This window comes from Homo sapiens, chromosome 16 (genome assembly GCF_000001405.40).
Source record: "Homo sapiens chromosome 16, GRCh38.p14 Primary Assembly".
Taxonomy (NCBI): Eukaryota; Metazoa; Chordata; class Mammalia; order Primates; family Hominidae; genus Homo; species Homo sapiens.
The window spans coordinates 77,780,842-77,799,545 of NC_000016.10; the positions used below are offsets into that span (position 1 = coordinate 77,780,842).

General features: G+C 45.5%; 1 protein-coding gene and 1 long non-coding RNA gene across 6 annotated transcripts in view; one reads left to right on the forward strand and one right to left on the reverse strand.

Annotated features, from left to right (window-relative positions):
- Positions 1-18,704, reverse strand: part of LOC107984878 (uncharacterized) — a 77,518-nt gene that overhangs the window by 37,972 nt on the left and 20,842 nt on the right. The window contains exon 1 of one of the 5 annotated variants that reach the window (XR_001752260.2): positions 2,715-2,959. The exons of the other annotated variants lie outside the window; for them this stretch is intronic. This is a non-coding gene — a long non-coding RNA (uncharacterized LOC107984878). Of the gene's footprint in view, positions 1-2,714; positions 2,960-18,704 lie in introns of those variants that run through there. 5 annotated transcript variants of the gene reach the window in all.
- VAT1L (vesicle amine transport 1 like) overlaps positions 7,723-18,704 on the forward strand; it is a 191,544-nt gene continuing 180,562 nt past the window's right edge. The window contains exon 1 of the mRNA NM_020927.3: positions 7,723-8,074. Within this exon, the coding sequence (NP_065978.1) occupies positions 7,842-8,074 (233 nt within the window). The 5' untranslated portion in view covers positions 7,723-7,841. The remainder of the gene's footprint in view (positions 8,075-18,704) is intronic.

The following is an 18,704-nucleotide window of genomic DNA, read 5'->3' on the forward strand; positions in this document are numbered from 1 at the left end:
GGTGGTGCATGCCTGTAGTCCCAGCTACTCAGGAGGCTGATTTAGGAGAATCATTTGAACCTGGGAAGTGGAGGTTGCAGTGAGTCAAGATTCTGCCACTGCACCACAGCCTGGGGTGACAGAGCCAGACTCCATCTCAAAAAGAAGAGGGAGGGGGAGGGGGAGGAGGCGAAGAAGAAGAAGGAGGAGGAGGAGCAGGAGGAGGAGGAGGAGGAGAAATGGAAGAGGAAGAGGAAGAAAAGAAAAAGAGAAAAAAATCATACAGCATCACACTAGGGGGAGGACCCTAGATAATATTCAAGGGGAGGGGTACAAGAAATCACTCAGAAATTATCTTTCAGTGTGAGTGAAATTTCAAAAACAAACTACATGATTTAAATTCCTTAGTCCTATGTTGTATATTTTCCTCTTTACTTGACCAACCATGTTTACCAAATGATACTAAACAATTGATAAGATCATCTCCACATGGATAACAGCTGCTTATGGAGATGAGTAAGAGCAGGTGAAATGTTTCTATTTCTATTCATACATGAGCAGATTAATAGAGAGCTAAAATGGTGTTCAGGGTCTTATGAGTAGCACTTTTGGTTAGGGTTTTCCTGTTAACATCCATTATAAAATTGCAGCTGGATCCCTATGGAGAGAAAACTCCAACAGGGTGAAAATGTATCTTACAGAGGAGTTGTGAGAGGGAAGCATTGAATCCCAGGGACTGGGATTCTTGGGTAATGTTTTGTTGTAGGGAGGCCATGGGGACTCCTCAATACTCCACACAGACTATCATTCATTTATTTAAAGCCCTTCAGTGGCATCTGTGGAAGATACTGCTACACCTCCTAATGCTATCTGTCCCTTTCCTCATTAATTGTAGAACCTTAGCTTTTACTTGGACATTGTTACTTAGCTAAGAAAAAACTAGGTTTCCCAGCATCCTTTGCAGTGGGATGTGGCCATGTGACTAGGCTCTGGCTAATATGAGATAAGTACATGTATTATGGTGGAGTCCTGAAGTGCCCTTAAGATGAAAGCTGTGGGTCTTTCTTCCCCTCTCACGCATCTCTGTCCTGTCACCCAGCACATAAATGTGATGGCTATATCTTAAACTATGAGAATGGAGGCCAGTGATTCATGACCTGGAGTACAGAGCAGGAAGGAACACTGATCCTTGATGATAATGTACAGCCTCCATCCCATCCTAATGTATTTTATATTCTTTAAGCCAATTTTTATTTTATTATTATATTTTGTTGTCTGTAGCTGAACCTAATACATTACCATTGCTTTCATAGAGAAGCTTTTACCGACCATGCAGATAGCCCCTTGTATTTCCCCTTTACAGCACTTATTGAACTGGTAAATGACTAATTACTTACATGATTTTTTTTTTTTTGGTTTAATATATGTAGCAGAGATGGTCAGTGCCCAACCTACCCCCTCTTGGATCTCATCACTGCCATGCACAGCGACCCCATGGCTTCCAAGTACAAACACCTGCAACTCTTTCAGGACAGCTTTGTCTGGCTGCCTATTCCCAAACAGCCCATGTGCATGGCAGGCTAGAAGTGGCAGATGGCTAGTGCCCCACAGAAACAGTCCTCAACTAAGGACTAACAGGAGCTGGTGGATTCTCCATTTTCTTTGCCTCTTGATGGGGATACATCTGAGATGTGCTCTACGCTGTCTCCTAGAGTTCCCCAGCAGGATTTAAGCAGGTTATAGCAGTGATAACCTGCTAAGTAATACACCTCATATTGGCTTCTTTCCTACCCTGTCTCACCTTCACAGACCTCTTCCAGTGCTTCCTGGGATCACTTCTCAAGCCGTATGTATGCAAATCTTCAAATTAACAAACGTTTGCTCCTGGGCAACCCAATATATACCTCCTCAACAGGGCTGATAACTCCATTAGGACTGAGAATATATTTGTCTTATTCACCATGTTATCTCCAGCATTTAGCAACAGCACAAGGTCACCACTCAAAAGGTGATAAGTATCAGTGCACTTTTTTTCCCCTCAGACACAACTAGAGTTTACCATGTAAGACCCGTCCTACAAAGTGTAGACAGGAAGTGTATACTGCCACCATCAGGATGGGCTGCACACTTCTCTAGCACTTCTCTGAAAAATAATGTTGTGCTCATTGGGAATTAACCACAAACTATAAGAAATTATGGCACAAATCCTCTAATATAACTCCCTGGATTTTGTTAGGATATTTCAACAGCCAGAATCTTTTACCTCTCTCCATTATTGACCTCCTAAATTTGTCTCCTTTTTCTTAACCTATTTGATGGCATTCTTGTGAGTAAAAGAGCAACAAATAAAACCATAAGCATTGAAGTGTGGTGGTTAAGAACATACATTTCAAAGTCAAATAGCTCCCATTTCAAATCTCAACTCTGCAATTTGTTTAGGAAGTAATTCTGGGAAAGTTACTCAGTTTATATTAAATTTTCTCCTCTGTAAAGTAGGGATAATAGTCCTATAGCATAGGATTATTTTAAAGATGAAATATGTACAACAAATGATTCTAATTGTATTGAAGAGAATACAATGCAACAAATATTATTAAAGCATATAGTTAAAGACATTGACCCTCTTCCTTAAATAACATTTCTCTGGGAAGTTACTGAACCATTCCAAATAATTTAGAAAACGATTTCTAAAAGTGTACTGTGTCCAGAATTAGTGGGTTCTTGGTCTCACTGACTTCTAGAATGAAGCCGCGGAGCCTTGCGGTCAGTGTTACAGCTCTTAAGGTGACGCGTCTAGAGTTTGTTCCTTCTGATGTTCGGATGTCTTCGGAGTTTCTTTCTTCTGGTGGGTTCGTGGTCTCACTGGCTCAGAAGTGAACCCGTGAACCTTCGCGGTAAGTGTTACCGCTCTTAAGGCAGCGCGTCTGGAGTTGTTCGTCCCTCCCGGTGAGTTCATGGTCTCGCTGGCTTCAAGAGTGAAGCTGCAGACCTTTGCGGTGAGTGTTACAGCTCATAAAGGCAGTGTGGACCCAAAGAGTGAGCAGCGGCAGGATTTCTTGCAAAGAATTAAAGAACAATGCTTCTACAGTGTGGAAGGTGACCCCAGCGGGTTGCCACTGCTGGCTCAGGCAGCCTGCTTTTATTGTCTTATCTGGCCCCACCCACATCCTGCTGATTGGTAGAGCCCAGTGGTCTGTTTGGACAGGGCGCTGATTGGTGCGTTTACAATCCCTGAGCTAGACACAAAGGTTCTCCACGTCCCCACTAGGTTAGCTAGATACAGAGTGTCGACACAAAGGTTCTCCAAGTCCCCACCAGAGTAGCTAGATACAGAGTGTCCATTTGTGCATTCACAAACCCTGAGCTAGACACAGGGTGCTGATTGGTGTGTTTACCAACCTTGAGCTAGATACGGAGTGATGATTGGTGTATTTACAATCCCTGAGCTAGACATAAAGGTTCTCCAAGTCCCCACCAGACTCAGGAGCCCAGCTGGCTTCACCTAGTGGATCCCGCATGGGGGCTGCAGGTGGAGCTGCCTGCCAGTCCCTTGCCGTGCGCCCGCACTCCTCAGCCCTTCGGTGGTCAATGGGACTGGGCGCCGTGGAGCAGGGGGTGGCGCTCGTCGGGGTGGCTCAGGCTGCACAGGAGCCCATGGAGCGGCGAGGGGAGGCTCAGGCATGGCGGGCTGCAGGTCCCAAGCCCTGCCCCGCGGGAAGGCAGCTAAGGCCCCGGGAGGGCAGCGACAGTGGGCCGGCAGTGCTGGGGGACCCAGCACACCCTCCGCAGCCGCTGGCCCTGGTGCTAAGCTCCTCATTGCCGGGGGCCGACAGGGCCGGCCGGCCGCTCCGAGTGAGGGCCCGCCAAGCCCACGCCCACCAGGAACTCCAGCTGGCCCGCAAGCACTGCACGCAGCCCCGGTTGCCGCTCGGGCCTCTCCCTCCTCATCTCCCCGCAAGCTGAGGGAGCCGGCTCCGGCCTCGGCCAGCCCAGGAAGGGGCTCCCACAGTGTAGCAGCGGGCTGAAGGGCTCCTCAAGCGCGGCCAGAGTGGGCGCCAAGGCCAAGGAGGCCCCGAGAGTGAGCGAGGGCTGTGAGGGCTGCCAGTATGCTGTCACCTCTCAGTACTGATGGTTTCCCATATTTTCTTACTCAGAGACTTTACCTCTATTAGGGGTTCCTATATCTGGCCTTCTACATCCCCCCCCACCCCCCACACACACCCCCACGTGCACATACCCTGCCCCAGACCATTTGCAAGGTAACAGAGCTGAGCTGTAATACTCTGTTTTACCATCAGTGGCCACTGTTTGACATTATGTACAATGATGTACATAATGCACATTATTCTACAATAATGTAAGAAATTCCACAACGGAGGCTCTGAGTGAATGTCCAAGGAATCAATTTTACAAATTAAAAATTGATTTATTGTGTTTATTTGGAGATATGCCATGCACTGTGGCTCTTTCCACGTTCCACCAGGGAGTACCAGAGTTGGGAATATTTAACAATAGTGGTATATAGGACTCAGAAGAGGGTATCTCCCCACCCCCCCACAAGCAGCACAGACTGTGGTGGGTTCTCTCTGGGTTGTTGTGATAATCAGCTGCCTACCAATTATAATCTGGGGTTTGTAAACAGCCAGAAGATTCCCTTGGAGGGAGTAATTATATTCCCTTTAACACACTGTAAGACAAACACTTTCTCTTTAACATGCTGTGTGCTGACTACAAAGTGGGTTTACTTTACTAATGCCAAAGGAAAACAAACACTCAGAACCAAGGCAAGGGACCTTGGTGGTACAGAGATAGTAGGCGGTGAAAAAAAAGAGCAGGGAACATTAAAAAATGCCATGGAGTATTGTCAATCAGGGGCAGAACTGGTTTGGCCTGTCCGTATAAACATGCATGATGAGATCTTAAGAGCACAGATTTGGAGTTGGTCTTCTATCTCATTATAACTAGCATGTTCCTTTGAGCACAATAATTCATCATGTTAAGATTCATTTTCATTTTCCTCTTCCATAAAGTGGGAATAGGAATTCTTACTCATGAGATTATTTTCAGAATCAAATTAAGAAATATACCTACAGTGTCTAGAACAGTAGACACCTCCAAAACAATAACATATATTGCAGATATTATTGGTGCCAAAGCTATGTCTCCATGGAATTCATCATTCCATGTATAAAATGATAGCTTCCTGCAAAGAGCATCCACAATTCTCTGCCTGGGGATTCTCTCAGCCCAAGTACATGGGACAGGATGGAAATGTCAAGGAGTTAACAATTCCAGGAACAGTTCTTGACCAATCAAGCATAGACTTTAGTGAATAAATACCTATGTCCTCACTCCTTGGGTGAGACAACTCTGAGACTTGTTCTACACTGTCTCTCAAATGTCCCCTGCGGGTTTGAGCTCCAATTGTCCACTGCGGTAATCTGCTTATTAATACATCTCATATTGGGTAGTATCAATTTTCTGTCTCACTTTCCTACTTCCCAGCCAGAGCTTCCTGGGATTACTTCCAAAATAAACGACGGGTGTTCAAATTCTTGTTTCAGGACAGAATCCAGCCTAAACACTGTATCTCACAATGTAAACAAGACAAACAATTTGGACAATTGGATTCACAATAAAATGTTCAATTCACTAACCAAGCCCTATTCAGGCTTCTTTTAGCCCTCTTCCTTCCATCCCATGGCCATTGCCTCAGTTGGGACCATTCTCATTTATTTTGTTTCTTTTTGGGGATTTTTTTTTTTTTTTGCCTGCACTTAGTCTCTAACTGATCTCGATGCTTCCAGTAACTCTATCATCTAATCCATCACCCACTTACTGTCAAAGTTATTATCCTAAAATGCAGTTCTGGTAATGCTCTCCCCATGTTTTTGTTTTTTAAGCCTTTATGGCACCAATTGCCTCTGTGATTATGTCTTAAATTTTATAACCTGGTATGTGAGAACTTTCAAAAGCTGGTCCCAATAAACCTTTCAGCCTCATCTCCAATGATTGCTAAATACAGCCAATGTTCTGCCTACATAGAACAAACCAGAATCTCAAAAGCCCTTTTACCTGTTACCTTTCTGTGTTATTTGAATGAGCTTGCGACCTTTTCTGCCAGAAGAACCTGCCTTATCCTTCAAGGTCTAGCCCAAATGTTCCCTCCTCCATGAGAACTTCTCCAACTCTCTGGACCAGTTTTTCAACAGGCTGCCTCTGTGCATATTCTACTATGTACCAATCATGTATTAAGCCCTGGGAAAACCACGCTGGATAAAAGTAGAAATAGCTCCTGCTCACATGAAGTTCACAGTTGGATAAAGGAAACAGATATTATCAGGTAAACATATAAAAGTTGGCTACAAAGGGACATAAGTGTCTATAGTCAGGGAGGACACCAATCTGGAGGTTGGAGTGCCTCCCAACAGGAATGGACCCTTGAGGTGAGAACGAAGTAGGAGTTAACACCAGATAAAGGAGATGGAACACATACCCCAGGCCAAGGGGACAGCAGGTGCAGAACCCTGTGGAAGGAGGGAAAATGGCAATCGTCTTTTTTTTTTTTTTTTTTTTTTTTAAGGAATAGAAGACAAGGGCATTTAAAGCAGTGAGGCACAGGAAGAATGAGGGGAGAGAAGAGGCAGCACTTACATCATTCATTGTACCACATTTGTTGACTGTGTCCTTCATGCCTCATGCTCTGAAATTGACCTTTTCCAATATAAGGACCATGTCTCACTGAAATCATGTCCACCCCAGCACTTCACACAATATAGAAAAAAAAATCAATGTACCCAATTTATAGATGAGTGTGTTGAGGCTCAGGAAGGTTGAATGAGTTGCCCAAGATCTCAAGGCTGGCAATGGCATAGCAACTATAATAGAATATAGACCTACTTCCTCACCTGCATCTCTTTCCTTAAACTGCCCCTAGGAAAACCACGTCCTTCCCCATTATTTTATTTCAGAAATTCCAAGTTTTTCTATGAGCTGTTTTTCTCAAAGAGCCTGATAACAAAACAAAACGCCAGTTACTACTCTGTGTATGTGCATGCATGTTGGGGAGCGGGTACACACTGGTCTTCCGGGGATCAGAACACGAACAGGATCCTTTCTGGTACAGGATTCTTGTCTGAAGCCTCTTTAATAGCCCGAAATGGTGTGGGTGGTGAGAATTCGCCGTCGTAAGGAAGCCCCTGGTGATACCCAGCAAAGAGCATCCCGGCTGACCCTGCAGGTCTGGAGTGAAAAGACCCTGCACTGGACTCTTCAGGGCAGTGAGCGGGATCTCTAGTTCCCTGCTTCCCAAACCTCTCCGCCCTTCCACCCAAAACTGGCTGTTTGAGAAACGACCCAATTTCCCGACTATCCCGCCCAGCCTCGAAGATGGGAGGGAGAGAGGGCAACCTTGTCGCGGTAAGGCATCCTCCAGGCCCAGACATTAGTCTCGGTCCATTTCAAGGCACCCGAGCCTGTGCCGTATATAACCAAGTACTGGGCCCACAGGAAGGGGGATGACAGGGTGGTCTCTCTAGGCTCGTTTTAGTCACAGATCTTCGGCAAATTTGGGTTTAGGGCCGCGATCCCGACCCTAACTTGGGACTATTTCAGGAACTGGAGTTGAGGCTTCGTTGGGACAGGAAAGAAGGGTGGGGCGGGGGTGAAGCGCTTAGGGCACGGCTCTTGTGAGGATTACGGCGGAGGCTGTGGACCGCGGCGGCGCTCGCAGAGGCTGCAGCCATTGCACAGCCGAGCATCCCACATTCAACAGGAGGAACCCGCGGGAGAGGAGCCCCACTCCCCCAGCGCCGCAGCCACCGCAGCCACCGCAGCCCGTGCGCCCCGCGCCCTCGAGCGCCATGGCCAAGGAAGGCGTGGAGAAGGCGGAGGAGACGGAGCAAATGATCGAGAAGGAGGCAGGCAAGGAGCCGGCGGAGGGCGGCGGCGGCGACGGCTCGCACCGCCTCGGGGACGCCCAGGAGATGCGCGCGGTGGTGCTGGCTGGCTTCGGGGGGCTCAACAAGCTGCGGCTCTTCAGGAAGGCCATGCCCGAGCCTCAGGACGGCGAGCTCAAGATCCGCGTCAAAGCCTGGTCCAGTATCCGCGCCTTTCTCGCTTTCTCTCTTTTTGCGCGCTGGGCGCTGGGGAGGGGGTGGGAAAGCTGCGGCTGGGATGCTGCCCGGGTAGAACCGCCGCGCGCACCCCCTCCGCGCCCTCACCCGGGTCTCAGAGCCTCCCCGGGCCAAAGCTGGGGAGGATGCAGAGGGGCGGCCTCCCCAAGCCAGATCTAGGGGTGACGGGAGGAGAATGTGAGCTCCTGGGCGCGGGGAGAATGCTGGCGCCCAGGCACCCCGGGTCTGGAAGATTGCGCTACGGGAGTTCTCCGTCTGAGAGGACAACTCAGCTTTCGCACGGGAGGGTTGATGCTTAACAGAATTAAAAATATATGTATTAAGAACCGCAAGCCCACTGTGTGCCAGCCGCCGTTGGTAGTTTTACACGTGCGATCTTATTTAATACTTCCTGGGACCTAATGAGTCAGGTGCCATCATGATCCGTTTACAGGTAAGAAAGCCGCCGCTCAGCGAGAATGAGTGATTTGCCCAAGATCAGTCAGCTGCCACTAAGTGGCTTGGCCGGGAATTTGATACATGATCTTTTTTCACCTCTATGCTGTTGTCCTGAAGGGCCTGGGACAGGGTGCAGGGCTGGATCCCGCCTCCTGCCCACTTCCTTCCCCGTAGCCTGACGGGGAAAGGAACTAGGAAGGAAGAGGGTCGGTACCTTGCACCCAGGCTTGGTGAGGGTGGAGACCAGGGCTGCAGCGCAACCCCCTCCATGCCCCTCTCCATCCTCTGTTTCTCCGAGAGGGGAAAAAACCCTGATCAGTCTCCCCGGAATTCCTGGTCCCATCTCAGAAGGAGCTCAGCTCTCTAAGCTGCCCTCTATTCCCCATTCCCCCTGGGGGAACTTCTCCAGGCCCTCACGCTCAGCTGAAATTCCCGGGGAGAGTTTAAGCCTCTCTGTGTGCGGGCACTGTAATTTCCCTGAAGTTCTGGGAAGAGCTTACCCAGCAGAGGCGGACTGGACCCAACACTAGGTTTGCATGTTAAACTTGTAAGGGGAACTTGCTATTAATCACGGTGAGACGAGCCTATTCCTTCCCATCTGTTTTCTAGAGCCCCCCAGTACATACTGCTCTCCAAAGCAGCAGCCAGCTCACGAGCTTCTAGGTTAGATCAGAAACCCAATATCTGGACCTCTCTAGAGGCACGAGAAATACAAACGAGGGTCCCCTCCCGTTCACCACCTTGAGAACAGACGCAGGTTTCATCGGCCAGATTAGAAAGCAGCTAGTGGGAGAAGCAGCCGCTGATCCCTGCCTTGCTGCTCATATATGCAGCTGGTCAGGTTTGACTCTGAACACGACTCGTGAGTCTCTGTGGGGAATTCCGGGTAAGGGAAGAGGCTTTTGCAAACCGGGGGATCCTGTACAATAAACTCTTATTGAACCAAGTTGTTTGATCCCAGAAGGAGAGCTTATATCTGCCCTTTCGCAGCTAAATCCCCAAAGACCAGCCCACTCCCCCACCCCACACTGTTTGGCCCACTGCACATCCTAAATAAGTTATCGCTGAATGAATGGATTGAGGAAAGAGCTCGGAGGAGGATTGTTGGGTCATTATTTTTCTTTACTTGCTGGTGGAAGAGCTTTTGCTTAGTACAATTAAAACCATGCATTTAGAACTCTCCTTCCTTAACCACTTCATCAAAAAAAATTACCTGTATACACACACCTATGCATATATGTGCATATACATATATACAATTATATATACAGTTGCATATGTATGCGTATGTAATTTATGACCCTTCATCCAAATTGAGGATGGGATTCTAGGATTCTAGAGTACATATTCAGAGAGGGAAAATGATAAAACTACTTTTTAAAGGAAAGAGCATCATCTGCAGTACACATAGTTCTGTGTTTTCCAGTCTTATGTTAACTGCATAATTGCTGATAGGAACTGAAGCATTTTGAAATAATAAATGTCAAGATGAAGGCCAAGAGATTGATTTTCAAAGCCAGATGTGAAAGCCTGTTCTTCAGTGGCGCTACACACACACACACAGAAATCACTGCACTTCCCCGACCCTAGTTGTTCAGAAAGCCAACCAGGCTGCAGGTACATTTGGAATACAGTGTTGCAAACAGCCCAGATTGATTTTCCTTTCACCAAGCTGGAAGCAGAGTTAATGGTTTTACAAGGAAGGATTGTAATAGGCTTGTAAATGGCCCACTGGGCAGCTCCTTCTCCTCTGGGCTGGGATTGGCTGGCCAGACATGATCATTGATTATAAGTTTTAGCCTTGGGATACAGGATGACTCATTCTGTATTTTTATGAATCAGCCGATGGCTTCCTGGATGATGGTCTCCCTTTTATCTGCTCTCTATTTTTAATAGAAACCTTTTTGTCATAATAGGATATGCTTTTTGCTTGGAATAAAGCATAGTCCATTTGAACCAGTATTAGACAGACCTGGAATGACGTTCCAAGTTGGCTATGAATTTTATGAAAATGGAAGAGATGAGGCAGGAAGAAATATCCATTTTATATCATGGACCCTTTTTCATTAATGCGCCAGTGAGATGGGTATTTTTCCTACAGAACAGAAGAGCAAATTGAGGCTTGGAAACATTGAGTAATTTGCCAAAAACATCAAAAAATAGTAGACTTAGGATTTGAATCTAATTCTCCTTATATTTTTGCTATTTTCCTTTTATTCCATTTTTGTCTCCCTTGGTGGAAAAGCCTTAGCACATGTGATTCCCCTCTTAGCATGCAGTCTCACTTTCTTTCCTTTCTCCACCGAAGATGGTTCCTTTGCTCTTTTTGTGTCTGGCTTAAGAGAATATTCTCTAGCTATTTCCAAAGTAGTATGGCTTTCTCCAGAAAGTAGAGACATTTTGGTCAAATGCAGCTCAAAAAGAACTGTTGCTGGGGTCAGGGTTGGAATGATAGCAGAGTCTTCTGTCTAAATTGTTTTTTAAAATGTCAGTTTTGATGGCAGATGGATTTCACCAATTATTCATGGAATACTTTACGCAACAAGAGGTTTAAGTGACCAGGTGGAAAAAGCATGTGGCCCTTGAAGAGAGAGGGACTTGAATATAAGCTTAAGCCTCATCTCTTCCTATCCATATGCCCCTGGGGGATGTGTCTCAGTGTCTCCAAACTTCCCATACATTATCTGCAAAGTGGGGATAATAAAATGAACTTCATGGTATTGTTGAAAGGATCAGATGCAAGAAAGACACTGCCGCGTTGTCAGCATTCAATAAGTAGGATTCATTGTGACTGTCGTTGTTGCCATATCTAAACCAATGTGATATATGCTGCTTGGTGACCTACAACTTGGAGGCCATCATTTTAATCATGTATATAATATAGGCAATATCATGTCACATCTGCTTAGTGATTAAGAGAGCTTCCTAGACATGAGTCCCAGCTCTGATACTTGCTAACTGGATGTCTTAGGTCTGGCTCCTTGGAGGCAGAACCTGACGCAGGGATCCTTTTTCAGGTGGTTTATTGAAAGTGTGCTTTTAGAACTATGGGAGCAAGGGAAGCAGGCTAGGGAAGAGGAAGGAGTTAAGCAAAGATGTGGTCTTAGCTGGATCCCACTGCAGAGTCAGTCTCACCTTGAAGCAAGGAACAGAGGGAGCCTTGTGTGTCATTGGCTGTGAGCTACTTTCTAAGTGGGGACATTGAGCCTCTCAAGCAGAAGTGGCTTCTATCTGACTGAGCAAAATTCTCTAGGGAAAGGGATGACTCTGAGGCTTGAGCATCCAACACTTCCAGCAGTTTGGGGATGGGCACCTGCCCATAGACAGGATCTGGGTGAGGTACAAACCACGCCTTCTGGTTGGCCTTGGCCATGTTGTTGTTAAAAACATGTTAACAAACTTCTGTTTCCCGGACTATAAAATAGAGCATCCATTTTATAATAGCATCCCCCTTCATAGTATTGTAATGAAGCTTAAATGACATGCCATATACAAAGACCTTTATAAGGATGCCTGGTGCTTAGCAAGCAGTCAAAAAATGATAACCATTATTATCTAAACTTTTACTTTTGGTTGCCGTATAAACTTTAGTTTATTATTCAAACTGGAACTCTTGTATTTTGAGACAGGCATAGCAAGTAGTCAAAAAATGGTAACCATTATTATGTAAACTTTTACTTTTGGTTGCCATAGATACTTATATAGTTTATTATTCAAACTGGAACTCTTATATTTTGAGACAGGGTCTTGCTCTGTCACGCAAGGTGAAGTGCAGTGGTGTGATCATGGTTCACTGCCACCTTGATCTCCCTGGCTCAAGTGATCCTCCTGCCTTGACTTCCTGCATAGCTGGGACCACAGGCATGTGCCACCGTGCCCAGCTAATTTTTTTTTAATTTATTTTTTGTCGAGACAGAGTCTATGTTGCTCAGGCTGGTTTCAAACAAACTGAACCTCTTCTGAAAGCAGAAGGGGCACTATTTATAATTACTCCTACATAGGAGAAGCTACAATCATAAACTGGAACTGTCTTAGGCAAACCAAGGTGTATGGTTCGCCCCTAACTGATACAAGTCAGAACTGTGCCTTTGCTGCTATCAGTCTTGTCACAGTTGAGTGTCTCTTAGACCGGGGCTGCTAGGATTTTAGGCTGGCAGAGGGTCTCCAGGTTGGGCTGCAGGAATGTATTTAAGTGGCCATTAACAAACCTTGTCTGGTTTGTGGTTCAAATTGGCTTGCAGTAGAAGGGCACTAATGGATTAGGGACATTTATTTTCCCAGAATGATTTACACCAAGAGGCTACATGAAACTGCTGGAAAGACACCAAGTGGATGAAAAATGGTTCCAGCCAGTCATGGTTCCATTGGCTGATCTGAAAATGGGCTGAGGGCAGGCCACATCAGAAGAAAGCTACCAGATTGGTGGAATTCTAATATGTCACGAGGGTATAGTAAATTGGAGATAGGGAAGGAACAAACATGTATTGATCAGTGGTTATGAGCCAGGAACTGAGTTGGCTGCAATACACTCTTTGTTTCATTTCATCCTAATGACAACTCAACAAAATCAGTATTGCCATCTCCAGTTAAAGATGAGGAAACTGATATTCACAGACACATCAGGATCACAGACTGCTAAGTGGAAGAGCCATGTGAACACCCAAGTGTGCCTAAAACCCAAATGGCTCTTTACATTTTGGAGAATCAGACAGACACAGTGACAAAGACATAAAAGAGAAAGAGACAGAGAGACACACACACAAATCATGAGAGATCAAGAGACACAGAGAGGCAGACGGGCACACAGACAGGAATACAGAGAAAGAGCCATGAATGTATTTGACTGATTTGAAATACAACTGCTAAGATTCAAAATTGCACAGTACTATCCTGCCTCCCACCCCAAAACGGCCATTATGTTTATGCACCACATCCATTTCATCTACACTTGTGAGATACAGTATGTGGGATGCTTTGGGGGATCCATCTAGATGGAGTTACTATGACTGTTGACCCAGAACACCCATGCTGATTAAACACAATCACAATCACCACTCCTTGAACCACTAAAGATATTGGAGTTCCTCCCTCTGCCTCATTTACCTTGATCAGGCCATTGCTACATTGGCAAACCAAGTATAAGTTATCCCCAAACAACAGAGCATTAAACTGTCACCAGTAAGGTTGATGCAATGAAAGGTGGCCAACATGATATTCCCTGTGTTTATTCAAAATAAACAAGTGGCATCCATGAGGTTAAGATGTTTGTAAAACTAAGATGTTGCTCAGAGGGTTTCTAATGCCAAGCCAGGAGCCACTCTGACATGGAGATTGGAATAATGTGTTCTGAATCACTCTGTATTGGATGGAAGCATCAGGATTTGAGAGGAAAGGATGACTCCATGCTGAGTCATATTTAAGGCTCATTTGATGATGAGAAAGAACATGGAAGTGCTAGCTCGGGTCATTTTTATTTAATGAAATTTGCATTCTCTCATCAACTGAGTCCTTGCTGATGAGGACTGGGGATGGTGACAATATCCGCTCTTTATCCAATAATGAAATGGGCTTCTTGCTTTTCTGGCGATTTGAAGAGGAAAGGAAACCTAGAATCAGTGATTCTTCTATCTCATGAGAACAAAGAAATAAGTTTTGACCCCATCATTTGAACCCACTGTTTATACTTAGCATCTTACCCCCTGAGAATACTTTGATCTATCAGTAGAGAAGCCTTTGTCTTTTCTCTCCATTTTGTGTCCCCTCTCCCTCAATCTGTATCTTCACATACTTCTGTCTTCCCATTTTTCCATTCTGCTGCTAAAAAATTAATAGCCACCAAAGAATAACCTCACTAATGGAAGCAATAATTGGTAGAATTTACAGTGGGGGCGGGGGGAAAGATTGAGAAATTAAGATTTGTTTTAATAATATTTTACATGAAATAGGATTCATCCAAGTAGAAATAATTTCAGAAAATAAAAGCGAAGTAAATGGCAAATAGCTTAACAGCTTATTAACAGCTTAATAACAAATAGCTAAAATGTGCCATTTAGAACATTTTAATTTGCTAAAAACCAACACTGTTGTCATACTTCTGATGGCTTGTTTGTAGTAGGTATTTCCTCAGGATTAAACCTTTTGGGGGGTTGAAACTATGGAATTAAAAATAACCTGGGATCAAAAGGAAGAGCCTGAAGGAAGAGCAGGAATGAAGGTGGATGGGTCAATTCAGAAAAGATTCATTCATTCCACCAAGTTGGTCAACTAGCATTAGTAGGGAATCAGCGCAGACGGGGAGGAAGCTGCCTATCCTTTGGAAAGTGCTGGGGCTCTGGTTTCAGGCAGACATGGATTAAAATTTTGCTTTGCCCTTTATTAACCATTTGTGTTTCAGCAAGTCGCTTAGCTCCCTTTTTTCTCTTTTTTTTTTTTTTTTTTTTTTTTTCATTTGAGACAGAGTTTTGCACTGTCGCCCAGGCTGGAGTGCAGTGGCGCAATTTCGGCTCACTGCAACCTCCACCTACCAAGTTCAAGCGATTCTCCTGCCTCAGCCTCCCAAGTAGCTGGGATTACAGGTGCCTGCCACCAAGCCCAGCTAGTTTTTATATTTTTAGTAGAGACAGGGTTTCGCCATGTTGGCCAGGCTGGTCTCGAATTCCTGACCTCAGGTGATCTGCCCGCCTCGGCCTCCCAAAGTGCTGGGATTTACAGGCATGAGGCACCACACCTGGCCAGTTGCTTAGCTCTCTAAGTCTTATTTGCTTTACTTACAAAATGGAGATACAACCTTATAGAACATTCGACATATACTAGGTTTCCATGAACAGCAGCCAGATCTCAACTATATAGGGACCAGTGAGAAACCAATGTCAGGTAGCTGATGATGGGCAAAGGGAATGGGGACTGATTATTGCACCCACCCTACCATCCATCTGCAGCATCTTTGCAGTGACAAAGCCTACTATGTACCTCAGCTTTTCATCTGATCTTCACCACCCCATGGGGTAGGTGTCACTGAAATTATCATCCATGTTTTCTAGGAGAGGAAGCTGGGACTCAGGGATGGAGTGGAAATAGTGAGAAGCTATAACCAATTTGGGTTCAGATCCTAACTCTACCTCACTGTGGCTGTGTGATCTTAAGCAAATAGCACTTTCAACTTATCTACTTCCTCACTTTGTTAATGATATGCACTTTTACTTATTGTTACAAAGACTAGCTAAGTGTCTGTAGCAGTCTTGACGGTGCCTTGCACATGGTGGCACTCAATAAAGGTTGTTTCTTCCTAAATGACTTGGGCTTTTACATACAGAACTAGGACATGAATTGCCATCTCTTGTTTTCTTGCCTAGCGTTCTCACACTAAACTACATTGCCAGCACGGAGTAGGATGCTGGCTTTTCTACAAAATGGAATGAAATCATGTCTTTTGCAGCAACATAGATGGAGATGAAGGCTGTAATCCAAAGGGAAATAACTCAGAAACAGAAAGTCCAATCTGGGACGTTCTCACTTAGAAGTGGGTACCTATGGCCATGGTACACACTGAGTAGAATAATAGACACTGGAGGCTCTAAAAGGTGTGAGGGTGGGAGGAAGATGAGGGTTGAAAATTGCCTAATGGTACAGTGGTCACTACTGGGGCAGTGGGTGCACTAAAGGCCCGGATTTCACCATTACATAGTATATCCACTCAACAAAACTGCACTTGTACCCTTAAATCTTTTTTTTTTTTTGAGATGGGGTCTCGCTCTATCACCCAGGCTGGAGTGCAATGGCGCTATCTTGGCTCACTGCAACCTGCGCCTCCCAGGTTCAAGTGATTTTCCTGCCTCAGCCTCCTAAGTAGCTGGGATTACAGGCATGCACCACCACACCCGGCTAATTTTTGTATTTTTAGCAGAGACAGATTTCACCATGTTGGCCAGGCTGGTCTCAAACTCCTGACCTCAGGTGATCCGCCTGCCTCAGCCTCCCAAAGTGCTGGGATTACAGGCGTGAGCCACCGCGCCCAGCAATTTTTCTTTTTTTAGGATGCTAGCTTTCAAAGCCACCCAACTTCCAGGGTTGGGAATGGATTTGGACTGATCTATTGCTGCCCTCCCACCAGCCCCCTGCATCCCCACCCATGGGTTGCTGCAGGGATTTCTTTGCTAGCTGGGTGTATATAGACAATCCAGCCTCTGGAGCTAGCTTTGCTAGCTGGGTGTATATAGACAATCCAGTCTCTGGAGCACTCTCATTCAAAGGAGTCAAATCCCATGCTTTGGACACATCACTGACACTCAACACTGACAGCAGAGCTCACCCAGGCATGAAGAAATAGTGCCCCGATGACCTCCAAGCTCCTGGGACTTCCTTTTCCTAAGAGAGAGCCTTTTGGACATCTTGGCATTTGTCACAGAAGAAAAAGTGTAATTAGAAGGAAGAAGAGACTCTTCACAGGAAAGGGTGGCGAGCATGTAATCTGAAATTAGTTTGATTCCTCTGTGTGTGATCTCATACAGAAAATTGGTTGGAGCCATGGTATGAAAATGAGTGAATTTTATGTCTGAAGGCCCAGGAGACAAAATAGATGTTCCAGTGAAAGAAGCTGTTTTATCTTTGAACATGATATTTTCCTGATGAGAGCATGCCGTCAGCATCTGTCCTCAGTCTCCTGTCACTGACCCCTGAGGTCTCATCCCCAGAATTTTCCTGGAGCCAGGGACATGCTAAACAATGCTTCACCAAACAGAACCCAAAGCCAAAGCATTGGGTCCTCTCACTCTTGACTTCTCTAAATAACTGTGGTCCCCAGAGCCTAATGCAGGATAATTATCTTCTGAGCCAGGGATGACAATGATTCCTTTCTTAACCTGGCACTAGCCATACACCCAAGCCAGATGAGAGGCAGTAGGCTTCTTGGTTATAAAGTAGTTAATGTGTGAACTAAAACAAGCTTGAATTCAAATCCTAGCTCTAACAATTTTAGCAACCTGTATAACCTTGGAAAAATGATTAAGTCTTTTGAAACCTCAGTTTGCTCATCTGTAATATGGATGGGGTAAAAGTTTTTGTGTGGGGAAAGAAGAAGATAATGCAGCTAAAGTGCCTAGCAAGGATGTTGATACATTTCATATTTGTTGAATGAATGAATAAATGAAGTGTGTGTGCCATAGAAGATGTGTTTGATAGATATTAATGGTGGGGAGGAGGTACAAAGAAATAGGACATTAAAAAGTCCCTCTGTGCTTCATAAAGTTTTCTGAATGGAGTCCCTCATTCAGACTCCACCTGTATCCGCCAAAGACCACAAAACCCTGACATCAAAAGTAGCTCAAACAGGATATGCCACTGTGTCATGACATATACAAGAAGATCAAGAGGAATTCCTGAAGGGACAAGCGAGGAAATGGAACCAAAATACACTGTGCTTCTACTGTGTGCTAGAAACTGGACCAAGCTTAGAGATCTTCAGAGGGCGGGAAGGCCACCCCCTTACTCCCTCCCCTCTCTCGTTATTTCAGCCCTGCTGGCCATCATGATGAGTTTGTCCCTGGGATTCTAGGCTTTCTCCTCTCCTTCCCCTTCCATCTTTCATCCTCTCTCCTCATAAGTTAGCTTCATGTACTCCTGCTGCAATGAGCTTCCTTCCCGAGGCTGGAAAAGGTGGTGGTCATTAGCTGCAGCTGCCGTGTGAAAATTTAGCGAGCCCCAGTGCAAAGAGAACTTTTTTCTCCCAGTTTTTATGTATTAAGGAAGGACTTTGATTGGTCCTTTGCAAATCACATACCAGCCCCTGGAGATCTCTCTCCCTCTCTTCCTCTCCCGGTCCTCCTCCTCCTCTCCTTGTCTCTCCCTCTCTCTCTCCCTCCCTCCCCTCCCCTCCTTCTTCTCTCTCCCTCTTTCTCTGTCTCTCTCCTTCCCTTCTTTTCCCTCCGTCTTTCCCCTTTTCTCCCTCCCACTTTCTCCATCTCTTTTCCTCTCCACTGCCTCCCTCTCTCTCCTCTTTCTCTCTCTGGCTTAAGAAAATGAGGAGCTGTGATTGACCACACCTGTGCCTCATGCTCTCTTACCTTGGTCTAAAAGAAGGTAAGCATCATGTCTGACAGCCCCACTGGAATACATGGTGTGTGTGTGTGTGTGTGTGTGTGTGTGTGTGTGTGTGTG